General features: G+C 39.9%; 1 protein-coding gene across 16 annotated transcripts in view, besides 1 other annotated feature; it reads right to left on the bottom strand.

The window, feature by feature from the left end:
- IL18R1 (interleukin 18 receptor 1) overlaps positions 1 to 20,889 on the bottom strand; it is a 42,981-nt gene that overhangs the window by 2,543 nt on the left and 19,549 nt on the right. For 6 of the 16 annotated variants that reach the window (XM_047446167.1, NM_001371418.1, NM_001371423.1 and 3 more), the window contains 6 exons: positions 20,171 to 20,327; positions 14,552 to 14,614; positions 11,236 to 11,356; positions 9,234 to 9,373; positions 6,017 to 6,175; positions 1,607 to 1,765 (listed from right to left, as the gene is read on the bottom strand). In XM_047446167.1, coding sequence (XP_047302123.1) covers positions 1,607 to 1,765; positions 6,017 to 6,175; positions 9,234 to 9,373; positions 11,236 to 11,356; positions 14,552 to 14,614; positions 20,171 to 20,327 — 799 coding nt within the window. Of the gene's footprint in view, positions 1 to 1,606; positions 1,766 to 5,657; positions 6,179 to 7,578; positions 7,806 to 9,233; positions 9,374 to 11,235; positions 11,357 to 14,551; positions 14,615 to 20,170; positions 20,328 to 20,889 lie in introns of those variants that run through there. The other 10 variants (NM_003855.5, XM_024453202.2, NM_001371422.1 and 7 more) reach the window with 6 other exon arrangements.
- Positions 8,916 to 9,055: an enhancer, noted in NCBI's record as "active region_16307". NCBI's record gives its function as "activates an Ori minimal core promoter by ATAC-STARR-seq in GM12878 lymphoblastoid cells {active_cell/tissue: GM12878}" and the evidence as "EXISTENCE:reporter gene assay evidence [ECO:0000049][PMID:35858748]".

The following is a 20,889-nucleotide window of genomic DNA, read 5'->3' as shown; positions in this document are numbered from 1 at the left end:
TTTAACAAACAAGGAAGCCGGAGCACAGAGTGGTTAAGTAACCTGCCCAGAGTCACACAGCTAGTAAATGGCAGAATCAGAATCTAAACCCAAGTGGAATACATTTTTCTAACTATTATACTATCCTGCTTCTCCTCAAGCAGAAAAGAGCATGCTAAAATCAGAATTTAAAGATTAAAAGACAAAAAGGCACAACAAAACAAAACCATCCATTATTTTAGACCAGGGGTTGGCAAACTTTTTCTGCAAAGGGCCAGATAGTAAATATGTTAGGCTTTGCAGGTCACACTGTCTTTGTCACAACTACTCAGTTCTGTTGTTGTAGCTCAGATGCAGACGCAGGCGACAGGTAAACCAATGTGCGTGGCTGTGTTTCAATAAGGGTTGCAGGTGTGATGGAACCCGTGGCTGGTAAACTGCCAACCCCTGTTCTAGACCTCTCACTGTTCTCAAATAGAGGTTTAACCAAACCTAATTACAGCTGAATATTCAAACATTATTTTTATTTATGAATTAAGAATAAATCTGTTTTCAAGAAAGGCCCCTAGAAAATAACGGAAATATAGTAAAATTGATGTATGGCCCAGAATAAATGCTTCCTAAGTAACAATATGCCTTCTTAGATGCAAAGAACTGCTATCCAAAAATACTACAATGTATGCATCTGATAATCTGGCATATTTTTTTGACAAGTTGTTTATTACTAAACAGTAGTGTAAGTTAGCAATATTTTCCTTTCTACTTTGTAATATGGGGGGGAATGTAACTATTTCTTTCTCACTGTTATATCTTTGATGCCCAGTTCACAACTTGGCACAGGAATAGTATCCAATAAATATTAGATTAATACATGAATGATGGTAATAATCAAACATTTGTTTTTTTTTTTTAAGCATCAGTATCCAGAATAATTTGACACCAGATTTTAAATGTTTGTTCTAAAGACTTCAGAGAAAATCTAAAAATGTTACTCATTAAAAAGAAAAATTTAACAGTAATTTGCTTTAATATAGGCACTATGGCCATTTGTATTCCTATATTAATAAAAAAAACATTGAATTTCATAGCTATGATCTGATGGGGATCACCGCTTTCCTGTTATTTTTCCCTTTTCAATTTTCCTATTTTCTACTTAAATTTCGTCACCAATATCAACACAATAAAAACCCATGCATTTTCTAGTAATAATTAACCCGTGTTTATTTCTAGTAAGAGTTACTAGTGAGGATTAACTAGTCCACACATCACATGTTAAATTAGGAACTGCTGCTGTGGTACAGATATTCTCACCGTGGGTCATTTCTAAATAAAGGCTTCATGATAACGCCAGCTCTGGGCCCGGTTCTGAAAAGGAAATGCCCTCTCCCTTTCCCCAAAGTTTCAGAGAACCGTGAAGCACAAAGAACAGAGCCCAAGAGAAGAGACTATTGGAAGCTCATTAGTTTGTTTTCTCACTATCGATTGTTGACTTACGTGGTTATTTCTTGCTTAAAGGACCTTATTCATTTGTTTTTAAGGAAAATGGGATAGCTCTCTGGGGGCTAGCTCATTCATTTTTTAAAAAGAAACTATCTTGAATATTTTTCTATCTGGCATTCCCTCTTACCTCCTCCAGGCACTACATCCCTTTCAAATATGCATAACTTATACCCAAAATGTTTCTCCAACACCCTGGGCAAAATCTCCACAGCAAAGGTGTGCTCCTCTCCATTTTCAGGTCGGCATTCTTTTAGGTAAGACACAAAAGCATCATATGTTTTTCCATCTAGGAGGTAAGATTGGCTCTTTTAATTCATGTGTAAATAAAATTTTATTTAAGTACAAACTTAAGTGAATGTCGTAAGTAATGAGTATAGAATCATTGAAAAAACAAATTATATATAAAGTTGTTTATATTTAAACCTCCCATGCTAACCAAGCAACCAATTAGCCAATGTGTTTTTAAGCATCTACTTTAAGATCCCACTGCTTGACACCACAGAAGAATACAGAGATATATGAGCCATAGATCTGGGCACTAAAGGAACTTAAGTCTTTAAGTTCCTTAGAAGGCCAAGAGCCCAAAGGTGTCCTCATTCCAGGAGTGGAAAGAAAATCTCACCCTGGTTTACTCATATCATTTAATTCTACCACCATCACAATTTCTATGCTCAGAAAGACCCCCAAGAAGGTGAAAATGTCTCCTAAATAACAAAGACCATGCTCCTAATTGGGTAATTAAAACATGATACCACTCTCTCTTCTAGCTTCATCCAATCTATTTTTAAAAGCAAAGCAGATGCATGCAACAACTTGGAAAAAGTTACAGACAACACATTAGCAGAAGAAAAATAGCATAACAAAAAAAGAATAACAAAACTCACAGACAAAATAACCTGGCCAGAGAATAAAGAGTGATCCCGATGGACATGCTTTCTGAAAGGAGGAAATTTTGAGTCAGGTCCTAAAAAATGCAATGGATGCTAATTGGGATCTGTAGAGAAAGAAGGAAAGTAGTGGGGAATGGTCTACCTTTATCCCATGACAATTGTTTTGATGGCAGATGATGGCAGATGGGTAAGATTTATGCATGGCATATTGTTGGGATTAATGAATTTGCTACTGAGTTTGAGGCTACATATAACTGCAACCCCTATTAAAATCTAATAGGATAAAACCATTCTAGATCTATGTCTCTTATGGTGCCACATCATTTATGCTTAACAGCCCAGCCTGGCATCCTCCATAGCACTCATGGTCACCAAACAACACTTTCTGCTTCTGGCAAAATCTTCTTCAGTTCTACTTACAGCATTCTGTTCAGCAATTTGGGTTAGAACCTATTGTTGATTTAAAGCAATTGCTTTGCAGAATTGCATGCATTGAAAGATGAAAAATGTTGGTAAAAATTTCAGGCTTACATAAATATCAAAGGTATGAAATGTTGGTAAAAATAAAACCAGTTATCAATCAGTAAGTAGGTTCCCCCTCAAACTTTTCTTAAACTGCTATCAAATATAACTATCTACTAGTTAAGTAAGAGCTAGTGCTTCCACTAGGGTTGTCACTGTGTCAGTGACAAAACAGGCATCAACATGTAAGACAATTAAATGAGCACACTTTTTTAAAGGGCATAATTTTCTTATGATGTAATGGATTGCAACAAACTGGGAAGACGATTTCATCAAATATGGGTTTATATTACATACAATATAGCTTTGCTCTTACCTATGAAAAATTAGCTTTTCAACTATTAATTGCTTTCAAATTCCTTATTTTAAGCAATTCTTTTAATATAAATATGCTAATTTTATTACAATATATTTTAAATTCAGGTTTTAAAAGGTTTAGGGGACTTGAGAATTGACAGAGTAAAGTATTCAAAAAAAGGAATTTGAAAACTAATGGTAATGTTTTTATTCTCTATATTCAAACATAAAGGAAAATTATAAAGGAAATTATAATTCAAGTGGATATTTGGGACTTCAAGGAGTAAGTTAAACAAATGTTCCTCAAACTATGCTTGGTGAATGACCATGTTTTAATTTAAATTTGCCTTTTTTTGTTGTTGTTTATTGATTAGTTTCATTTCCAATCCTTCAGAAACCAATACTGAACACTTTCTTAGATATTGCAGCAGTATTAAATTGTGATAAAAGTTTTTATCTTCATACTTATATCTCCATTTCTGTCCTTTTCGTGGACTGCATTTGTTCATGGACCATAATTTAATGGAAGTGATTTAGAGCATGTCTCTAAATGTCTCTGCACTGCCATATTGACAGTTAAGAAGTGTGAATTGAAAAAATTACCGCAAATCATGTCAAACACAACTGGAGAAGGAAAAAAGAAATCTTAGCTCCAGAAAGTCAGAAAGAGAGGAGCTAGTCAATGTTTATTTGAAGACAAACACTGGCCTATGCAAACAGAGACCATTCAGAAAATATCAAATACAGATTTCCCCGTTTGTTACAGCATCATCTCTCCCCATAGCAAACTCGCACATGCACATGCAGGCTCAAAGCTAAATTCACTAACCTTGCTAATTTTATGTTGTTCAATTTAAAGTTCTAAATGTGAAAACTAAACCTATAAAAATCTCAGAGGAACTAATATAATTTTTGTATAACTTGAGGTTAAGAAGGCTGTTTTGCTTATGATCCCAAATCCAGAAACCATAAAAGATACATTTGAGTATGTTTTTCAAAAAATCTTTTATATAGCACACCACTACAAGCAAAGTCAAAAGACAAATTACAGCCTGGGAATATTTGCATTTCATATTATAGATAATAAGCTAACCTCCCTAAAATATAAATAGCTCCTAGAAATAAATACGCAAAATAAAGCCATTGCCCCATGGAACAATAGGCAAAAGATATGAATGGGTGTGTTGAGAAAGGAAATACAGCTGAGCCTTATGCAAATGAAAAGTTGCTGGTTCTCTTGCATAGTAAGGGAAATGCAAATTAAAATGTCACTTAAATACAACTTTTCACCTATCAGATTGGCACAACTCCAAATGGTTGTGGGTAAGGTTATGGGAAAAAATTTGCTGTCATCTTTTGAAGGCAGTAGGGAGGGTGAATTGACAGTATCTAGCAAAATAATGGCTGTGTCTCCTTCTTGTATTCTAGAAACTCCATTTTGGAGAATTTTTCTTTCAGACCTACTGCATACATATGAAACGATGAATGTATAAAGCTGTCCATTGCAGCATTTTTATAATAACAAAAGATTGGAAACAAGCCAAATGTCCATCAAAAGGAGACTAAATAAACAGTGGTAGCTCTGCACAAATAAAATACTGTGCGGCCCTAAAAAATGATGGACTGCTTTATAAAGTAACATGCAAGTGTGTCTAAGGTATAAGAGAGCAAAGTTGAAAAGAGTGCGCATATTAAGCCAGGATTTGTTCTTTTTAAAAGGAGGTGTGTAATAAGAATCTGTATTGATATTTGGTCAGATGTGCTATCAATGAGGGGTGGGAATCATAGATCCAGGACCAGGCTGGAAGGGGGGCTACTGAAGTATAATTTCATAGACATTTTGGGTTTTGAACTCTGTGAAGGTTTTTTTCCTGCAAACACATACATGCAAAACAAAATCAAGTGCAATGAATTAGACTGACTTCCTTTAAATTAGTAATTATCTGGAAACTTGAGGACTTCTGGTCACCTTTAAGTATAAGGAAACTGAGGCATAGAGCCAGCGGGTCGACATAGTAGCAGATAAAAACTGGCAGGTCTAGGAGACATGATTCCAGATCATTTGGCTTCCAGCTCGGGGTTCTTTTTCTCTCTCTTTTTTTTTTTTTTTTGAGACGGAGTCTTGCTTTGTCGCCCAGGCTGGAGCGCAGCGGCGCGATCCCGACTCACTGCAAGCTCCGCCTCCCGAGTTCACACGCCATTCTCCTGCCTCAGCCTCCCGAGTAGCTGGGACTACAGGCGCCTACCACCACGCCCGGCTAATTTTTTGTATTTTTAGTAGAGACAGGGTTTCACTCTGTTAGCCAGGATGGTCTCGATCTCCTGACCTCGTGATCTGCCCGTCTCGGACTCTCAAAGTGCTGGGATTACAGGCGTGAGCCACCGCGCCCGGCCAGCTGGGGGTTCTTACACGTCCATTATGTAAGCCTCCTTTGCCAGGTTGAAATAATGAGCGATAGGACAATTCAATCTAACTTAAAGCAACTTTATTGAGTGTATGTACTATAAAGATACCTAAGTGATGCATGCACAAAGACACCCAGATATACAGTTCCTGGGCCCGAGCATCTCCCAGGGCATTTAGGAAGCTATGACATACATACACGAGACAATCAGAACAATTTTGGGCAACACATAAGTAAGCACAAGAAAAGAAGACATAGACAACATTCATAATGGATGGTACAGGCAGAACAATATTTCCCATAGAAAACCTCTCCCACAGATTAATTCTACAATATCATCACAATAAGATGAAGATTAATGCCTATTTATCTGATTTCTTAATGAGAACATAAGGTAAGAAATTCCAGCATTATATGTGTTACCTGTTAATGTTTCATCTCTTCTCGTTAAATGTCTATAAAATAGAACCAAGTCAACTCTATAAATGACACACACAGTCACTAGGCACACTACTGCCACCAAGATCAAAACAGCTATGATCATTCCTCTTGTGAAGACGTGGCCTGGGATATCAGCCATGTCTGCTAGAAAAGAAAGGGAAAAAGGAAAAGAAAATAATCAAGAAATCTTACCAGTGTTGTCCATCATCACGTGCTTGTCCATTTTTACTGCTAACACTAATGCAGTAGTTGCCAACCCACGTGCTGACACATTCCACTGAGTGACTCCACATTCCTGCCTTTAGTCTGGAGTAGTGATATTTCTACTCAGATTTTTAAAGAATAAAAATGTGTACACGGATATTTAGAGAACTGAAGTGAAAACATTACACAGTAATGTATTCTATCCGTACCCGTGGAAATCAGATTTCTGGGGTGAAGAGATACTAGGCTGAAACACATAGGGACTCACAGAAATATTAGCAAGTGGGTTGAGGTGCATAGTTTTGAGAGAAGAGAGAGAGCACTGGATTGACATTTGTCTGGGTTTGCAGCTGGGCTCCATCAATTATTTTGTATTGTAGGAAAAATCGTGAATGCCCTTAAACCTTGGTACCTTCATCTGTAAAATGAAGATACTAACTGCTTCACTTACAAGGCTGCTCCTTTGGGGAAGATTAAATGAAATATTACACAAAAAGTAGTTAATACAGCACACAGCTCTTGGAATTTTAGCAAATTCTTTGTATAAAAGTATCATTTGGAAAAAAATACATTTTCTAGATTGATTCCGTTTATGTTTATTATGGACAATCTGAGATAATACAGAGGAATAAAAAGAATAAAGTAATTTTTAACAACAAATCACAATGTGGTGAAGGCTGTGTTAACATGATAGAATATTTCCTTCTGGGTTTTCTTTTTGTCTCTTAAACTTTTTAGTTAACTGAGATTATATGGTAATCACTCATTATTTCTGAATATTATATTATGAGCATTTCAGTAGGTCATTAAAATTATAATTCATAATATCCTAATATTTAGATTGATTGCAATTTTTAGTAAGTAGACATAAAGTTGCAGTACATTTTATATGTATAAGTGTATACATGTATAATATTTATATAAATGTGTAACCTTGTATGTATATGCATATACATTTGCAAATATGTGTATATATACATGCATATATGTATATACATATACAAAAAGGCATATACATTTATCCATATTTCTAATTCTTTCTTAAAATAGATTGTAATGGTGGGGGCATCTCTAGGTCAATGAGCATAAACGTGCTTAAAACTTTTGCCATCTTGGTGCAATTTTTAAAAATTATCTTTCCATATCTTTCTACTATCTTTAGGATTCAGGCAAGCAGCTAATGTTGTTTAATAGTGAACTCTGAGCAGACTCAGGGTCTGGGGCTCCTGTACCTTGGAAAGGACTGCATAGTCATAACTGTGTCACACATTTGCAAAAACACGCACGCACACATTGGCACGGGGTGATGGTGGGTTGTGAGCCCCAATTTCTAAACCTACATTTGTGAGAGCAGCAGCAGGAGAATTGACTGGCCAGAAGCGTCTAGGGCAGGAATAGGACAGTCCTGCCCTGTTCTAAGAAAGGAGAGGTGATCCGGTGGTGAGCAGGCCCCAGGAAAGCCTGGCCAGGTGATGGTCCAACAAAGATTTGAGCCCCACTCCCTCACAAGTGAGTGGACCACAGCACAGGCAATCACACAGGGGTGGAAGACCACAGGCGACAAGCCCTGCAGAAGGTAAGAACACAGATTCCAGATTTAATCGGGTCTGAGTTTCAATACCTTCACCTGCCGTGTGACCCTGGGCAAGTTTCTTCACCTCTATAAAGCTTGTCGTTAAGACTGGATGAGATCATGGCAGGAACTTCACCCAGATCCTGTCATGTAATTAACATGTATGGGATGTGAGCTGTTGTTATGAGTGCATATGGTAGAGAGGCGGCTCTAAAACATGTGTGCTGGGGGAGCTGCCCCTGGGCACCAGGATAGCCCAGCTGGAGGGGGTTTCCAGCCTTTGTGCTCTTCCTGTCCCACTCCTTCCGTTTCTCACAAAGCCAAGGCCCAGTCTGTGTGTGTGGCTGTCTCTGCATGTTTGTGTGTGTCTGTGTGTATCTCTCCCTTACTCTGTCTCTCTGTCTGTTTCACTCTCATCTCTCTGTATTTGCATCCCTTCATGTCTCTGCCTCTCTATCTCCCTCTTTCTCTGTTCCTCTGTCTCTGTGTCTCTCCCTGTCTCTCTCATTTCTCTGTCTCTCTGTGTCTCTGTCTCTCTTTCTCTTTCTCTTTCTGTCTTCATCTCTCTAGAGTTGTCTGTTTGTCTCTGTCCCTCCATCTCATGTATCTCTCTTTCTCCTCTCTCTGTGTCTGTCTCTCTCCGTCTCCATCTGTCTCTGGGTGTGTTAGTCTCTGTCTCTCTCCCTTTCTCTCTCTCTTGCAGATCTTGACCTTTCTCTACATATCCAGGGAGTTGATGGTGGAGCCTGGGAATGAACAGTGAATGAGTAGTGACAACTGGAAATCACAGCTTTCTGGCTCCAGTCACAGCCATTTCTGAGCAGCTACTGGGCTGAAGGCCCTGGGCTGTGCTACTTTGGTGGAGGAAAGGGATGGCGACCCTGGGGCCCTCCATCAGGTGAGCACTGAAAAACTTTAAGAGCCCACAGATCAGGGCTATCAATGGCCTGCTTGCCAAGTTCAGGAGGCAATGAATGAATGAGCACACACAAGGACCCTGAGCCTGGTACCCTGCTGAGGCAGGCTGGAGCAGCAGTCACACCAAGTTTGCACTGGCCTCACCCCACGCAGATCTGCAAACTCCCCTCTGGCTGCTCTGGGTGCAGTGCTGGGTGCAGGGGTTGTCCTGATGGCCTCCCCATGAGCCTCACTCTCAGCATCTGTATCTCCAAGCCTCAGGCCCCCCGATTTCCACATGGGATGGAATATGACTGTGAGAGCAGGTGAATGAGTTCTGTTTTCATTCTCTGCTTGGCATCATGAGACAGAGGGGCCCCACTGAATGCCTGTGACATGAGGTGACTGATTTCCCCTCTCAGGAGCTGGGTTCTGGTGTGGAAAATGAGAAAGTGGCCATCTTTGAAATGTCTCTCAGTAGCAATGAGCTAAGTTTCAAAACTTCCAAAAATAAATCTTTCTCACCTTTTCTCACCAAGATGAAGCTTTTGGTGTCTGTGCCTCCCGTGCTGGCCACAGTGCAATTATATAAAACATTTAGATTGCTTTCACCAATATTTTCAATTCTCAATACTTTTGAAGCATGCCATTTGCCTTCTGGAGTCCTGTAAGAGGGCAAAATAATTTAGCAGTAGGCTCTGTTCGTTACCCTTGAGAGGGGAATTCACATGTTTAAAATGCTTGAAGGCAGCTGTGATGTTGCCTGCATTATTTCTTCCCTTTCTGGCCAGTACTCTTAAAGCATGGACTACAATAAACGTCCCCTCCTCCGTGGAGCATCAGAACTGACAGAAACAGCCCTCCTGAGGCCATTTGGGAATGGTGCTGTCAATTACCTGAAGTTTAAATGGCTGGAAGATCATGATGCTAAGTTGAAAATATAAGAAAATATTCTCTCTCAATTATTTTTCTCTACTTCTCTCTTCCTAACAACTTGGGGTTCTTTCCACAGAGTGGTTCCCACTAATTATGACAAGGCTGTAAGTTGTTTAGCATAGATGCAGATTCGTATTACATTTGTCCATGGAATCCAACAAACTGGTTTAATGTGTTCAGCATTAAAAAACATAACACTGTTCTCAAGCACCCCGAGGCACATGAGAAGTGCCAGTTAAGTTGTTCCATGAGTGTCAGAAAATGACTTGAGAAAGCCACTGGCAGCACGTTCTTTTTCTCTTCCTTAAAGGATTCAAGTTGTCCTGTGGTTGATGCCAGGTAAACACTTATGACATCCACTTCCCCCACCAATGACAGGCTCTGATAGCTACACCAGTCAACACAGCCAGACATGGGCCCCATGTGCCCACATTCCTAGCAACAGGGATATCTAGGACCCGGGACACAGAGCCCCACTGTAGCCTCCAACTGCCTCAAGTACATTTTGGAATGTAATTCTTTTCCTAAGTCACCCATCCAGAAATAACAACCATCTAAAACCAATGAAATCCAGAAGTAAAACACAGGAGGCCATTGAGAGGACAAAACAGATGATATCAAAGGTGTGTGCACCCAACTATAAAGAAAGACCTCTCTGCTTTTGTAGCTTAAGCTGCATTTCTAAGAAATTCACTGTGGTTTTCTACCCCTCTAAAAATTAGAAAGAGATTATCCAAAGGGAGAAATACAAAACTCAAATGGAGGCCAGTGGCTGAGGATGAGATATGATGGCAGGAGATCCACAAATTTCAAATGAATTCAACATGTAGTGGGCATGAACCACATGCCTGCTCCCGGGCAAGAAGCCAGACTTTGTGGTGTAAAGAGCTTGTAGACAAGTGTCAGCAAGAATGTAGAGCTGCAAGCATGGTAACAAAGAAGGTACCAAAAAATGTGTAAAAAGCAGAAGAAAAAACTCAACAAGTGCAGCAAAGGTGGTAGACAACTTAGGCTCAGCACTCACTAGACCCTGAGTAGTGTATCAGTATAATAATGAATACTTACAGTATGACCCAAAGTCATTCAGAAAAGCTTAGGTGACTATATGTTTAGACTGATTCTTTTTATAAGTTTGACCATTCCTTAATGGAAGAATATAGGCTTATTTAACTATCAATATGCATGCCATTTGGAGCCTTTTTGGCCCATTAGAAAAATAAACAACTTAACAAATTTTTCAAAATAAAAAAAAGCTTGGCCTAGGCAACTGCCCTTTTCTAAGAAGCTAAGTAAAATCCCCATCCCCATCGGATCCTGACTGACCAAGTGCTACTTTATAAGGTGATGCTAAATACCCTCAATGGCCTTCTCATGGACCTTCTTTTCCAGCTTAGATCTTGGCAATACATTTCTGCATAATGCGTCCACCTAGGGTATGGCCACTATAATTATAAAATATGTCCATTATAATTATAATTTAAACTAGCCCAAAATACACATCAGCCACCCAGTGTTTTTAATATGATGTTATATATAATATATATGATTGTTATATGGTATATATCATGACATATATATTACACATACATACATAATTCTCATTTCTTTCTCTTCATGTATATTAGGATCCGATCCATTTTCTTCCCCGAACATCCAATAAATTACATCCTCTTCATTCAGCAAAGCAGAGCAGTTGAGCCTTACGTTTTTTCCTGGTAAAAGTTGGCAACTAAAGTTCTGATTTTTGAAACTCAGGTTTCTTAAAAGTTTCAAAACAATATAATCAATGTATGTTAACCTAAAGCAAAACGTGGTGCTCCATCCCAGAAAGAGAATAAATATGCCTTGCTTTAAATAAAACAAAATATATAAAGCAGAAGAAATAGGTAGCAATTACAAGTCATCATCAAAACATGATTTGGCTTCTTTTTAAACATTTATTTTTTAATCAACTATTAAAACTTAGAGTGATCAGTGTACTTTCTTTTCGTAGCATCAGGACAATACTCTCACTGAGACTTCTAGATAAACCAAATGGATAAATCACAAAAAAATTAAATTAAGCAAACATTAAAGACATCAAAGTACAGAGAAAATAAAGAGAAATTTTTGAACTACAAGCGTACTTAAGAAGGATCCTTTCTAGGGTGAGCTAAGATAGGTGGCCATTTCATTCCATGGAAGAATTTGCTTTGGTTTGTAATTAACAGAAAGAGTCTCATAGAAACAAGAAAATCCAGTGAAGCTCTCGGCAGCTGCACAGGCTTGCAGAATTACTGCTAAGCGCTCGGACAGCGTAAAAGGATGTAAAGGCTGTATGATATCACTTGCAGTCTCATGGTAATCAGGAGAGCAAGTCTCATTAGAGAAGAGGCCTGCATCAAACACATGACTGCAGCACCCCCTCCCTCACCAGCTATCAGAGATGAAGACAGATTGGAGTGAACATACCTACATCCCAGCCACCCCAACTCAATTCTGAGTCAACTGAGATACTCAACTCTCAGGCTACCTACTTGTAAGAAAAAATAACACAAACTGTATTCACTTTAATTGTTTGATACATAAAGATCAACAACAATAAAAAGTTAAGAGACATACAAAGACACAGAAAATGTGCACCATAATCAATAGAAAAGACAGCTAATAGAAGCAGACCTACAGATGCTGAATTTAGCAGATTAAAAACTGTAACTGTTTGAAAGAAAATAGAGGAAAAGATAAACAAGTGGATGGAAATATGGTCATTTTCAACAAAGTGTAATTTATTTTAAAAAGAATAAATTGAATATTTGTATATCATGCATATATGATATAGCAACTGTAACAGTAATTTTAAATATACAGATGGACTAAACACCATACTGACCATATTTCAAAAAAGACCCAAATACATGCAGTTTATGAGAGACACTTATGTATAGAACAAAAAAAAATGTTAGTAGTAAAGGGATGTTTAAAAAAAGACAAATATGCCAATTCCAAGCAAAAGAAAACTTGTGTGATTATTTCATATGACAGAGCTACACATTGAGAGAGGAAGTGTTATGATAGATAAAGAGAGATATTTCATAATGATAAAAGTGTTAATTCAACGAGCATAAATCCGTGTATGCATATAAGATAGCTCCAAACTATGTAAGACAAAAATTGACAGAACTAAAGGAGATAGAGACACATTGACCATAATAGCTGGAGATATTCACATCTCTTTCAGCAACACATGGAACAAGCAGATAAAAGATTAGTCAGGATATAAATTTTTTGAACAACACCATTAATGAACTTAACCAAATAGACATTTAAAGAATAATAAAACAAAAACCTATAGAATATACCTTTGTTTCAAATGCACTTGGAACATTCAGCAAGATATACCATACTGTGGGCCTTAAGTAAGTCACTACAAATTCCAAAAGGTTGAAATGACACTGTGTATAATCTTGGACTATAATGAATCTAAACTGGACATGAATAAGAGACAAGAACTAGAAAGTTCACCAAATATTTGGAAATTAAGAAATACCAATTTTTTTTGTTGGAAAAAGAAATCATAAGGGAAATTTTAAGTAATGGTTTAAACTGAATAGAATGAAAATATGAGAAACAGCTAAAGTAGTGTTTACAGGGAAACTTGGAGTTTGAAGGTATATACTACCAGAGGATAATTAAAATTAATTATCTAACTCTTCAGGTCAACAAACTAGAACAAAAGATACAAGTTAAGCCCCACTGAGTAGAAGAAAAAAATAAGAAAGACAAAGACAGAAATAAATAAAAATATAAAGCAGGTAAACCTCATGTACAAATGGCATAGGACCCAGCTGCACTGGGCCCATGTGGTCATATAAACCACTGTGACCCCAACTGTGGTTATAAGGTGGGGACTTTGGAAGCAAAGTCCCCAAACAGAGACTTGCCACTTTTTAGTGATTTAACTTTAGACAAGTTACTTAGCCTTTTTGCACTTCAATTATTTAATTCATAAAATGAGAATACATGCCTCAGTGTTGCTTGGAGGATTTAATTCAACAATATATTTCAATGACCTAGCATGATACCTGGCTTAGCATATTTAGCATATGTGAATTTCTTCCTTTCTTTCTTTCCTTTCTCTTTTGAAAGAAATTACTCAATTGGACATGTTGATTCATAAGACTTATCTAGACAAACTCCAAATATACAATCAATTCAGTCAATTGATTCAAAGTGAATCAATTAATCAAACATTCACACCACAAAATTAGTTTGACTCATCTCTCCAGAGTGCTCTCACGGAATTTTTAAATTTATTATTGTTATTATTATTATTATTTTTGAGATAGAGTCTTGCTCCGTTGCCCAGGCTGGAGTGCAGTGGTGTGATTTCAGCTCATTACAACCTTGCCTCCTGGGTTCAAGAGATTCTCCTGCCTCAGTCTCCTGAGTAGCTGGGACTACAGGTGCATGCCACCATGCCTGGCTAATTTTTGTATTTTTAGTAGAGATGGGGTTTCACCGTGCTGGTCAGGTTGGTCTCAAACTCCTGACCTCAAGTGATTCACCTGCCTCGGCCTCCCAAAGTGCTGGGATTACAGGCGTGAGCCACCATGCCCGGCCTAAATTTTCATATTTAGAAATGACCATAGAGAGAGTTAAAGACAAGCCACACACAGCACAACAAAAACCTTAGTCTACAGACCACAGGCAGTTCCACTGTCTCTTGAACTTTAAAATGTTGCCACTTTTAAGTCAGGTTAAAAGTGGCAACATTCAAAAAATGGCACTCTTTTCTTAGTTTTGTAATGTTATTCAGTAAATATGAAATGTGTATCCAGTGTCATTCAATAATGAATCATATTTACGCTTGGAAGGCTCTATTATGTCCCCTACTTATAAATGCAGAATATATGTATATTGAAATATACCTAATTCCACTGCAACATGGTTAAGCTTTGGTCCAAGAAGAACCGGAACTATATTACTGCGATCTAGAAGTGACAAAAGAAAAGACAAATGTATTAGTGTTGCCTTGAGCTTCTTTATGACAAGCATCTATGATAATATGCTCATTTCATGTAACAAAGATTCCAATAGTTACTGGTTTACGTTCACTTGAGTCCTATTTGCATTAACTAAAGGTCACAGATGTTGAAAGCACCTTGTATCTGGTTTTCTCTCACTCAGATCTGCAGCTTCTGCTCAATTCAACTAAAAGGCAGAGGAAGATGCCCATCCACTGCAGCCTGACTCTCAGATGATCAAACGTGCAAGAGTCAAACCATGCAAAATCACTGGGAAGAGCCTTTCTGCCCTGTCTCGATTCTCTCCATCTGTCCTCCTCAGCTGGCCAGTGATGGATTTACAGGTTGCAGGGCCAAGACAGGTTGAGAAAAGCAAATCCCTCACTCTATGTGCCCACCGTTCCCTTGCAGGATGCTGAGAGCAGTGTCCCTTCAATATTGTGCCCCAGGAACCTCACCTTGGCCCTGGCCCTGCTGTTAAGTTCATGCCTGTAGGCCAAGTTCTACTTCTGCTCCTGAGTGGCTTCTGACCCCGACTGGAAGTACTGCACATAAATTCTGCCCCCTCAGTCCCCATCTGGTGATGCTTGGGAAGTAAGTCATCACCCAACAGGCTCTTGCTTAAGGCAGCTGGCAACTGCAAACCCTAAGAGCAGCTGCGGTCATAGATTTGAACTGGTGCATAGTCAAGTTATTGTTAGCCCTGATATCCTCATTGGTAACTTTCCTCATGACCAGGACTGTTCCCTGCTAGTAGCCCCACTGCTTTGGAGGCATTCCCAAGCAATGTCCAGAACATCCCTTCTGGGACTTGCAGGTGCTCAGCAAGCAGAATGCCTGGTTGAGTGGAGTACAGTGAGACTCAGGAGTGCTCCTGCAGCTCCCACACCTCCCTGAGCCCTCTCAGAAAGTGCAGTGCCAGAGTGAGCAGTTGAGAATGCAGTGGGCAGATATGTGAGCAAGAACAGGAGAATGAAACCAGCACAGTGGACTCCGGAGTTCAGAGTCAGGTCTGGGTTATCCTGGGATTTGGAGTCTCTGGGCAAGCCTGGAATGTTGGCAAACAGGCAGGAGGAGCTGAGATGTATCCAGGGAAAGAACTAACTCTCAGGTCTGACAGTAAGAAGCAACACCGGCTTGAATTCAAAGACAAAGGGCAGGAGGCAATTTCGGTGTGAGGGGGAAAACTGCTACTGACTACCTTTCTCTGGATCCATTTTTTCCCCCAGAAACTTACATGGGAGACTTGAGAAGGGGCAGTGTGAAGTACATCTTCAGCAAAGGATGCTGTCTACTAACACTCAAATTATATCATTGGAAATCCAGATCAGCCCTGAGTTTGCACAACTGGTGTAAAGTGAAGGGTGCAGTCCCATGTAGGTCATGGAAGGAAGACAACATCTTAGTGCATGCCCTTGACATGGCCAGCCTACCTAGGAGGCTATCAGAGTCAAAATGGCATAGAGGTTGTCAGCAGTAGGAGGAGACGCCACCCGATCAGCCAGAGCATAAGACCAGGAAAGTGGCAGATGCCCAGTAGGAATTCAGGTGACTGTGATTCACGAGCACAAGCTGAAGGCAATGGAACTCCTGGGCTCCAAAAACAGTCCCAAAGTATGGTGTTTTGGCAGGCTGAGTACTTTAAACTCAACGACATTGGAAGGCCTCAAAGCAGCCTCAAAAAGCAAGATCTCTCTGACCCTCCTGCTTCATGCCTCCATTCTCCCCAAAGCAAGTCACAGAAACCAGACTCCCTCTTCCCAAAGGCAGATCATAAAAACTAGAATCCTTTTCCCCAAAGTAAGCCATAGAACCTAGAAGCATGACTCTAACCTTCTCCTGCCTTTCTGTCTAGGAGTTGGCTATAAATTCTTTGGCCTTCTTTGGTCTGACAGTAAGTCTTAAGACCCTCTGCCCTCTACCCAGGAAAAGGAAATATAACAGAGAGGCCAAGAAGAATCTGGACAGGTCTTGCTGGGTTTCCCCACTCAGTCCATTAGCATTAGGTCATACCCTTTTGTCCAGTCACATTTCTACATGGCTGTCCATGCTTCTAGAACCTAAGCATTTAAAAAGAAAAAAACGGGTTTCCCTGAGTCTTAGGGTATTCATTTCTTTCCTTTTTTTTTTTTTTTTTTTTTTGAGACCGAGTCTTGCTCTGTCACCTGGGCTGGAGTGCAATGGCACAACCTCGGCTCACTGCAACCTCCATCTCCTGGGTTCAAGCAATTCTCCCTGCCTCAGTCTCCCAAGTAGCTGGGATTACAGGTGCCCACCACCAAGCCCAGCTAATTTTTCTGTTTTTAGTAGAGATGGGGTTTTGCCATGTTGGCCAGGCCTGTCCCGAACTCCTGGCCTCAGGTGATCCATCCGCCTCGGCCTCCCAAAGTGCTAGGATTACCAGCATGAGCCACCACACCCGGCCCCAGGGTCTTCATTTCTGAAGGCTCCCATGTCACATAAAACTTGCTTGCCCCTTGTTAATCTGTCTTTTGTTATGGGAACATTGCCATGACCCTTAGGATGGGGAGGAGAGGTATCACACCTTTCCACCACTACAGCAGTCACTATGTAGCAGCTGAGAGATCTCCATCTGTGAAGGCAAGGGGACTGTAATAAAGACACAACATGGAGAAGGCACGAGCTCAGAACCTCTCTGTCCTCAACACAGGTCAGAACACCTCCTGGCTGTCTTCCCCAACTCCAAGCTCTAATTTCTGTAGACTCGTGGCAAACTTTGCCAAATCCAAAGAAAAATAGCCAGGATGGTGAAGTGTCTAGACTTCTTGTTGTATGTGGCATCAAAGGAGTTGTTTCTGTCTCAGTGATGCACACAACAGGCATGTAATGAGCACCTTTATGTGCCAAGTGCCAATTGTAGGTATCCAAGATGCAAAGATGAGGAACAGAAGTCAGTGCAAACCTTTCCAGAAACCTTTCAAGTTATTGACAGAGACACACATGTATTGCAATTCTGACAGCAATCAGAAATACAAACAAGAGGCCATGGGGGCATGAAGGAGGAGCGACATTTGAGTGGAGTCCTGAGAGACTCAGTTGACATTCTCCAAGAAGACAAGAAAAATAAGATGGACAATTATGGGAGAAGAATAGCTTGTGCTGCAGGTGAGGTTTGGGAACCTAGCAGTGGGAGATGGTCATTACAGCAGAACTCTTACTGTCCCTAGAGCCATCCTAGAGCTGTACACACACTCACTCAGTCATTGTCAGCCAACCCTACGAGGGATGAACCATTACTGTCCCATTTCATGATGAGGAATCTGAGGCAGAGAGGAACTAAGGAAATTAACTCACCCAAGGCCACAGTCTCACAGAGCTGTTGTGAGGATTATATGACATGATTCAACTCCAGTACTTGGCACTATCCCTGGCCCATAACAAGCACCCTTTTAATAATGGATATTCCTACAGCTTCATCAAAGAAGGAAGGAAAGAGCTGCTGATGGGCAGAAAGCAAAGATGGTGGGAAAGAGGGTGTAGGTTCTGAAAGTATCAAAGTAACAGAGATTTATATGAGATTAAAAATAGATGTAGGAAAGTAAAGTTGGAGAGTTTAGGGTAGATGATTATACACAGAATTTAAGTTTTTGAGTTTAAAATTCAGTTATGGGTTTCCCAGGTTCTGGGCTGTGGCAGGCAGAATAATAGACCCTGAAGTTTCCCACATCCTACTCCTGAGTTCCTGTGAATACGATATGTTACATGGCAAAAGGAACCTCTAGGTGTGATTAAATTAAGGATCTTGAGATAGGGGGATCACCCTGGATTATCTAGGTGGGCACAATGCTGTCTCAAGGTCCTCATCAGAGGGAGACAGAAAGGTCAGAGTCAAAAAGGAGATGAGGTGAGGGAAGCAAATGTGTTTGGCTCTGAAATGAAGTGGCACAAGCCAAGAAATGCAAGTGGTCTCTAGAAGCTGGAGAAAGCAAAGGCAAAGAAACACATTTTCCAGCCTGGTGCAGTGGCTTATGCCTGTAATCCCAGTACTTTGGGAGACCAAGGCAGGGGGATCACGAGGTCAGGAGATCGAGACCATCCTGGCTAACACGGTGAAACCCCGTCTCTACTAAAAAAAATATAAAAATTAGCCGGGAGTGGTGGCGGGTGCCTGTAGTCCCAGCTACTCGGGAGGCTGAGGCAGGAGAATGGTGTGAACCCAGGAGGCGGAGCTTGCAGTGAGCCCCAAGGCTGCGCCACTGCACTGCAGCCTAGGCAACAGAGCAAGACTCCATCTCAAAAATATAAAATAAATAAAAAAATAAAAGAAACGCATTTTCCCCTACAGCCTCCAGAAGTAAAGCAATTCTGGCAAAACCTTGATTTTACCGAAGACACTAAACTTGGGATAATTTGTTACTGTGGCAACATGTGGGTGTATATAGCTATATGGTTGTAGTGAAGAAGAAAGATGTTGCTAAAGCAAAGGCTGTAGCAAATGTGAGCCCACAGATTTTGTTGAACAAGCCACCCACACAAGTGTTACAGTTTCCAGTTTCTCAGGATGATGGGGAAAAAAATCCAGACTGGATAAGCAACCTGTCTTCAAATCACGAAAGGAGCTGTCATTTTAAGAAGGAGCCAGATTTAATCTGTGAAATTCTTGAAGGCAAATCAAAATCAGTGGTTGGAAGCTACGAGAAGGGATATTTGGACTCAATGGAAAAAAAAGACTTCAACAATCAGATATTAAAATCTGGACTACACTGCTGTGTGATTTGGTCATTTCCTTGATAGTTCCCAAGAAGGGACTGGATGATCAATCATTGGCTGTGCCTTATGATGAATATCTTCACTGGGTGAGGTTTAATTAAATACCTTTAATGTCCCAGGATTCTGTTCCTCCATCACACACAGCCTGGGTCCATCATCCCTCCCCTCCCACCAGCACATCAGTGTTCCTTACACTCTCCCAGTGGAGATCCCTTCCCCCAGCAGGTCACTGTTTCATGAGGCTCCCCCTCCAAGACCCAGGTCAAATGGAGCCTCCTGCATCTGTCCTTCCTCCAACCTCCCCCTGCACTCTTGCAGCCTCACAGATGATGCTGTTTCATACACCTTTATGTAGCTTATTGCCTCTCCTGATTAGAATCAAATCCCTTGAGAATAGTACAGTGCTCACTTCATCTCATACTTCCTTGCTTCCCTGCCTCCTTGTGCTAAGTACAGTTTATTGAGTATAGATATCTTCACTAAATACTTGTAAAGTGAAAATGTAAATTCAACAACAAAAGATTCCACAATTTACTCAAATTTCATATATAAGAGAGAGCTGACTCATGTGAGGTTTATTCATACAGATTTTCATTTCCTGCCAAAAAGAAAGGTTTATTTAGCCAAGTAGAGGAGCACCAGAATGAAGATTTTGACCATCATATTTGAACTAGTGGTGTGGTCACAACCCCAACTAAGTGGACTCTCAATTCCTACACAGTTTTGAAGAATGAAAAAATTCCATTTTACTAAAATACGTCTGTTTCTTCCCAATTCTAAGATTTCCCTTACCTTCCACTATTGTTATATTGAAGGTTTTGGTGATATTAAATAGTTTTCCATTATGATGAAGGAAATGCACGCAGGAGTAATACCCCTGATCTTCAAACTCGGCGTTCTTCTTTATCGTTGGGTTTTTATTGTTCTCCAGTAGTAGCTTTTTACAGTTCTGTTTTTAATAAAACAAGTTAAAATACTTTAAGTAAAAGCCAAATTGATATTACAGTGATCCAAATTTTTGAGTTAAAGATCTTTAGAGAAAAAGGAAAAAAGAATGGAAAGTAGCAATTCCTGGACATATGTCCCAGTTACTTGGTACTACTTTTACTGAAACAATTAAATGCGATCCCATTGCTGTTGGCATGATTATCATTATTAATATATGCTGGGAAGTAGAGCATGGGGCAATATGAGCACTGTAGCTGCTTTCATCAATATTCTTTCATCTCTCTCTTTTACACACATGCAGAGAGAGAGAAACAGCGAGAGACAGAGAGAGAGAGAGAACACTACTTCAAAAACCCTTGCTTGAGTCACAACTCTATTTCATACATGTTCAGTCCAATTTTGTGTATTCTGGACTATGCATCCAAGGGGTGGATAGTGGGATGGGTGGAGAATTACTCAGAGAATGAGTAGCTAGCAGACCACCCACACCTTTGACACCCTCCATCAGAAGCCAGCGAGCTGATTAGAAATGCATCAGCAATATTCAAATCCATAGGTACACT

This window comes from Homo sapiens, chromosome 2 (assembly GCF_000001405.40).
Source record: "Homo sapiens chromosome 2, GRCh38.p14 Primary Assembly".
Lineage (NCBI taxonomy): Eukaryota > Metazoa > Chordata > Mammalia > Primates > Hominidae > Homo > Homo sapiens.
This window is presented reverse-complemented; position numbering and strand designations above follow the sequence as displayed.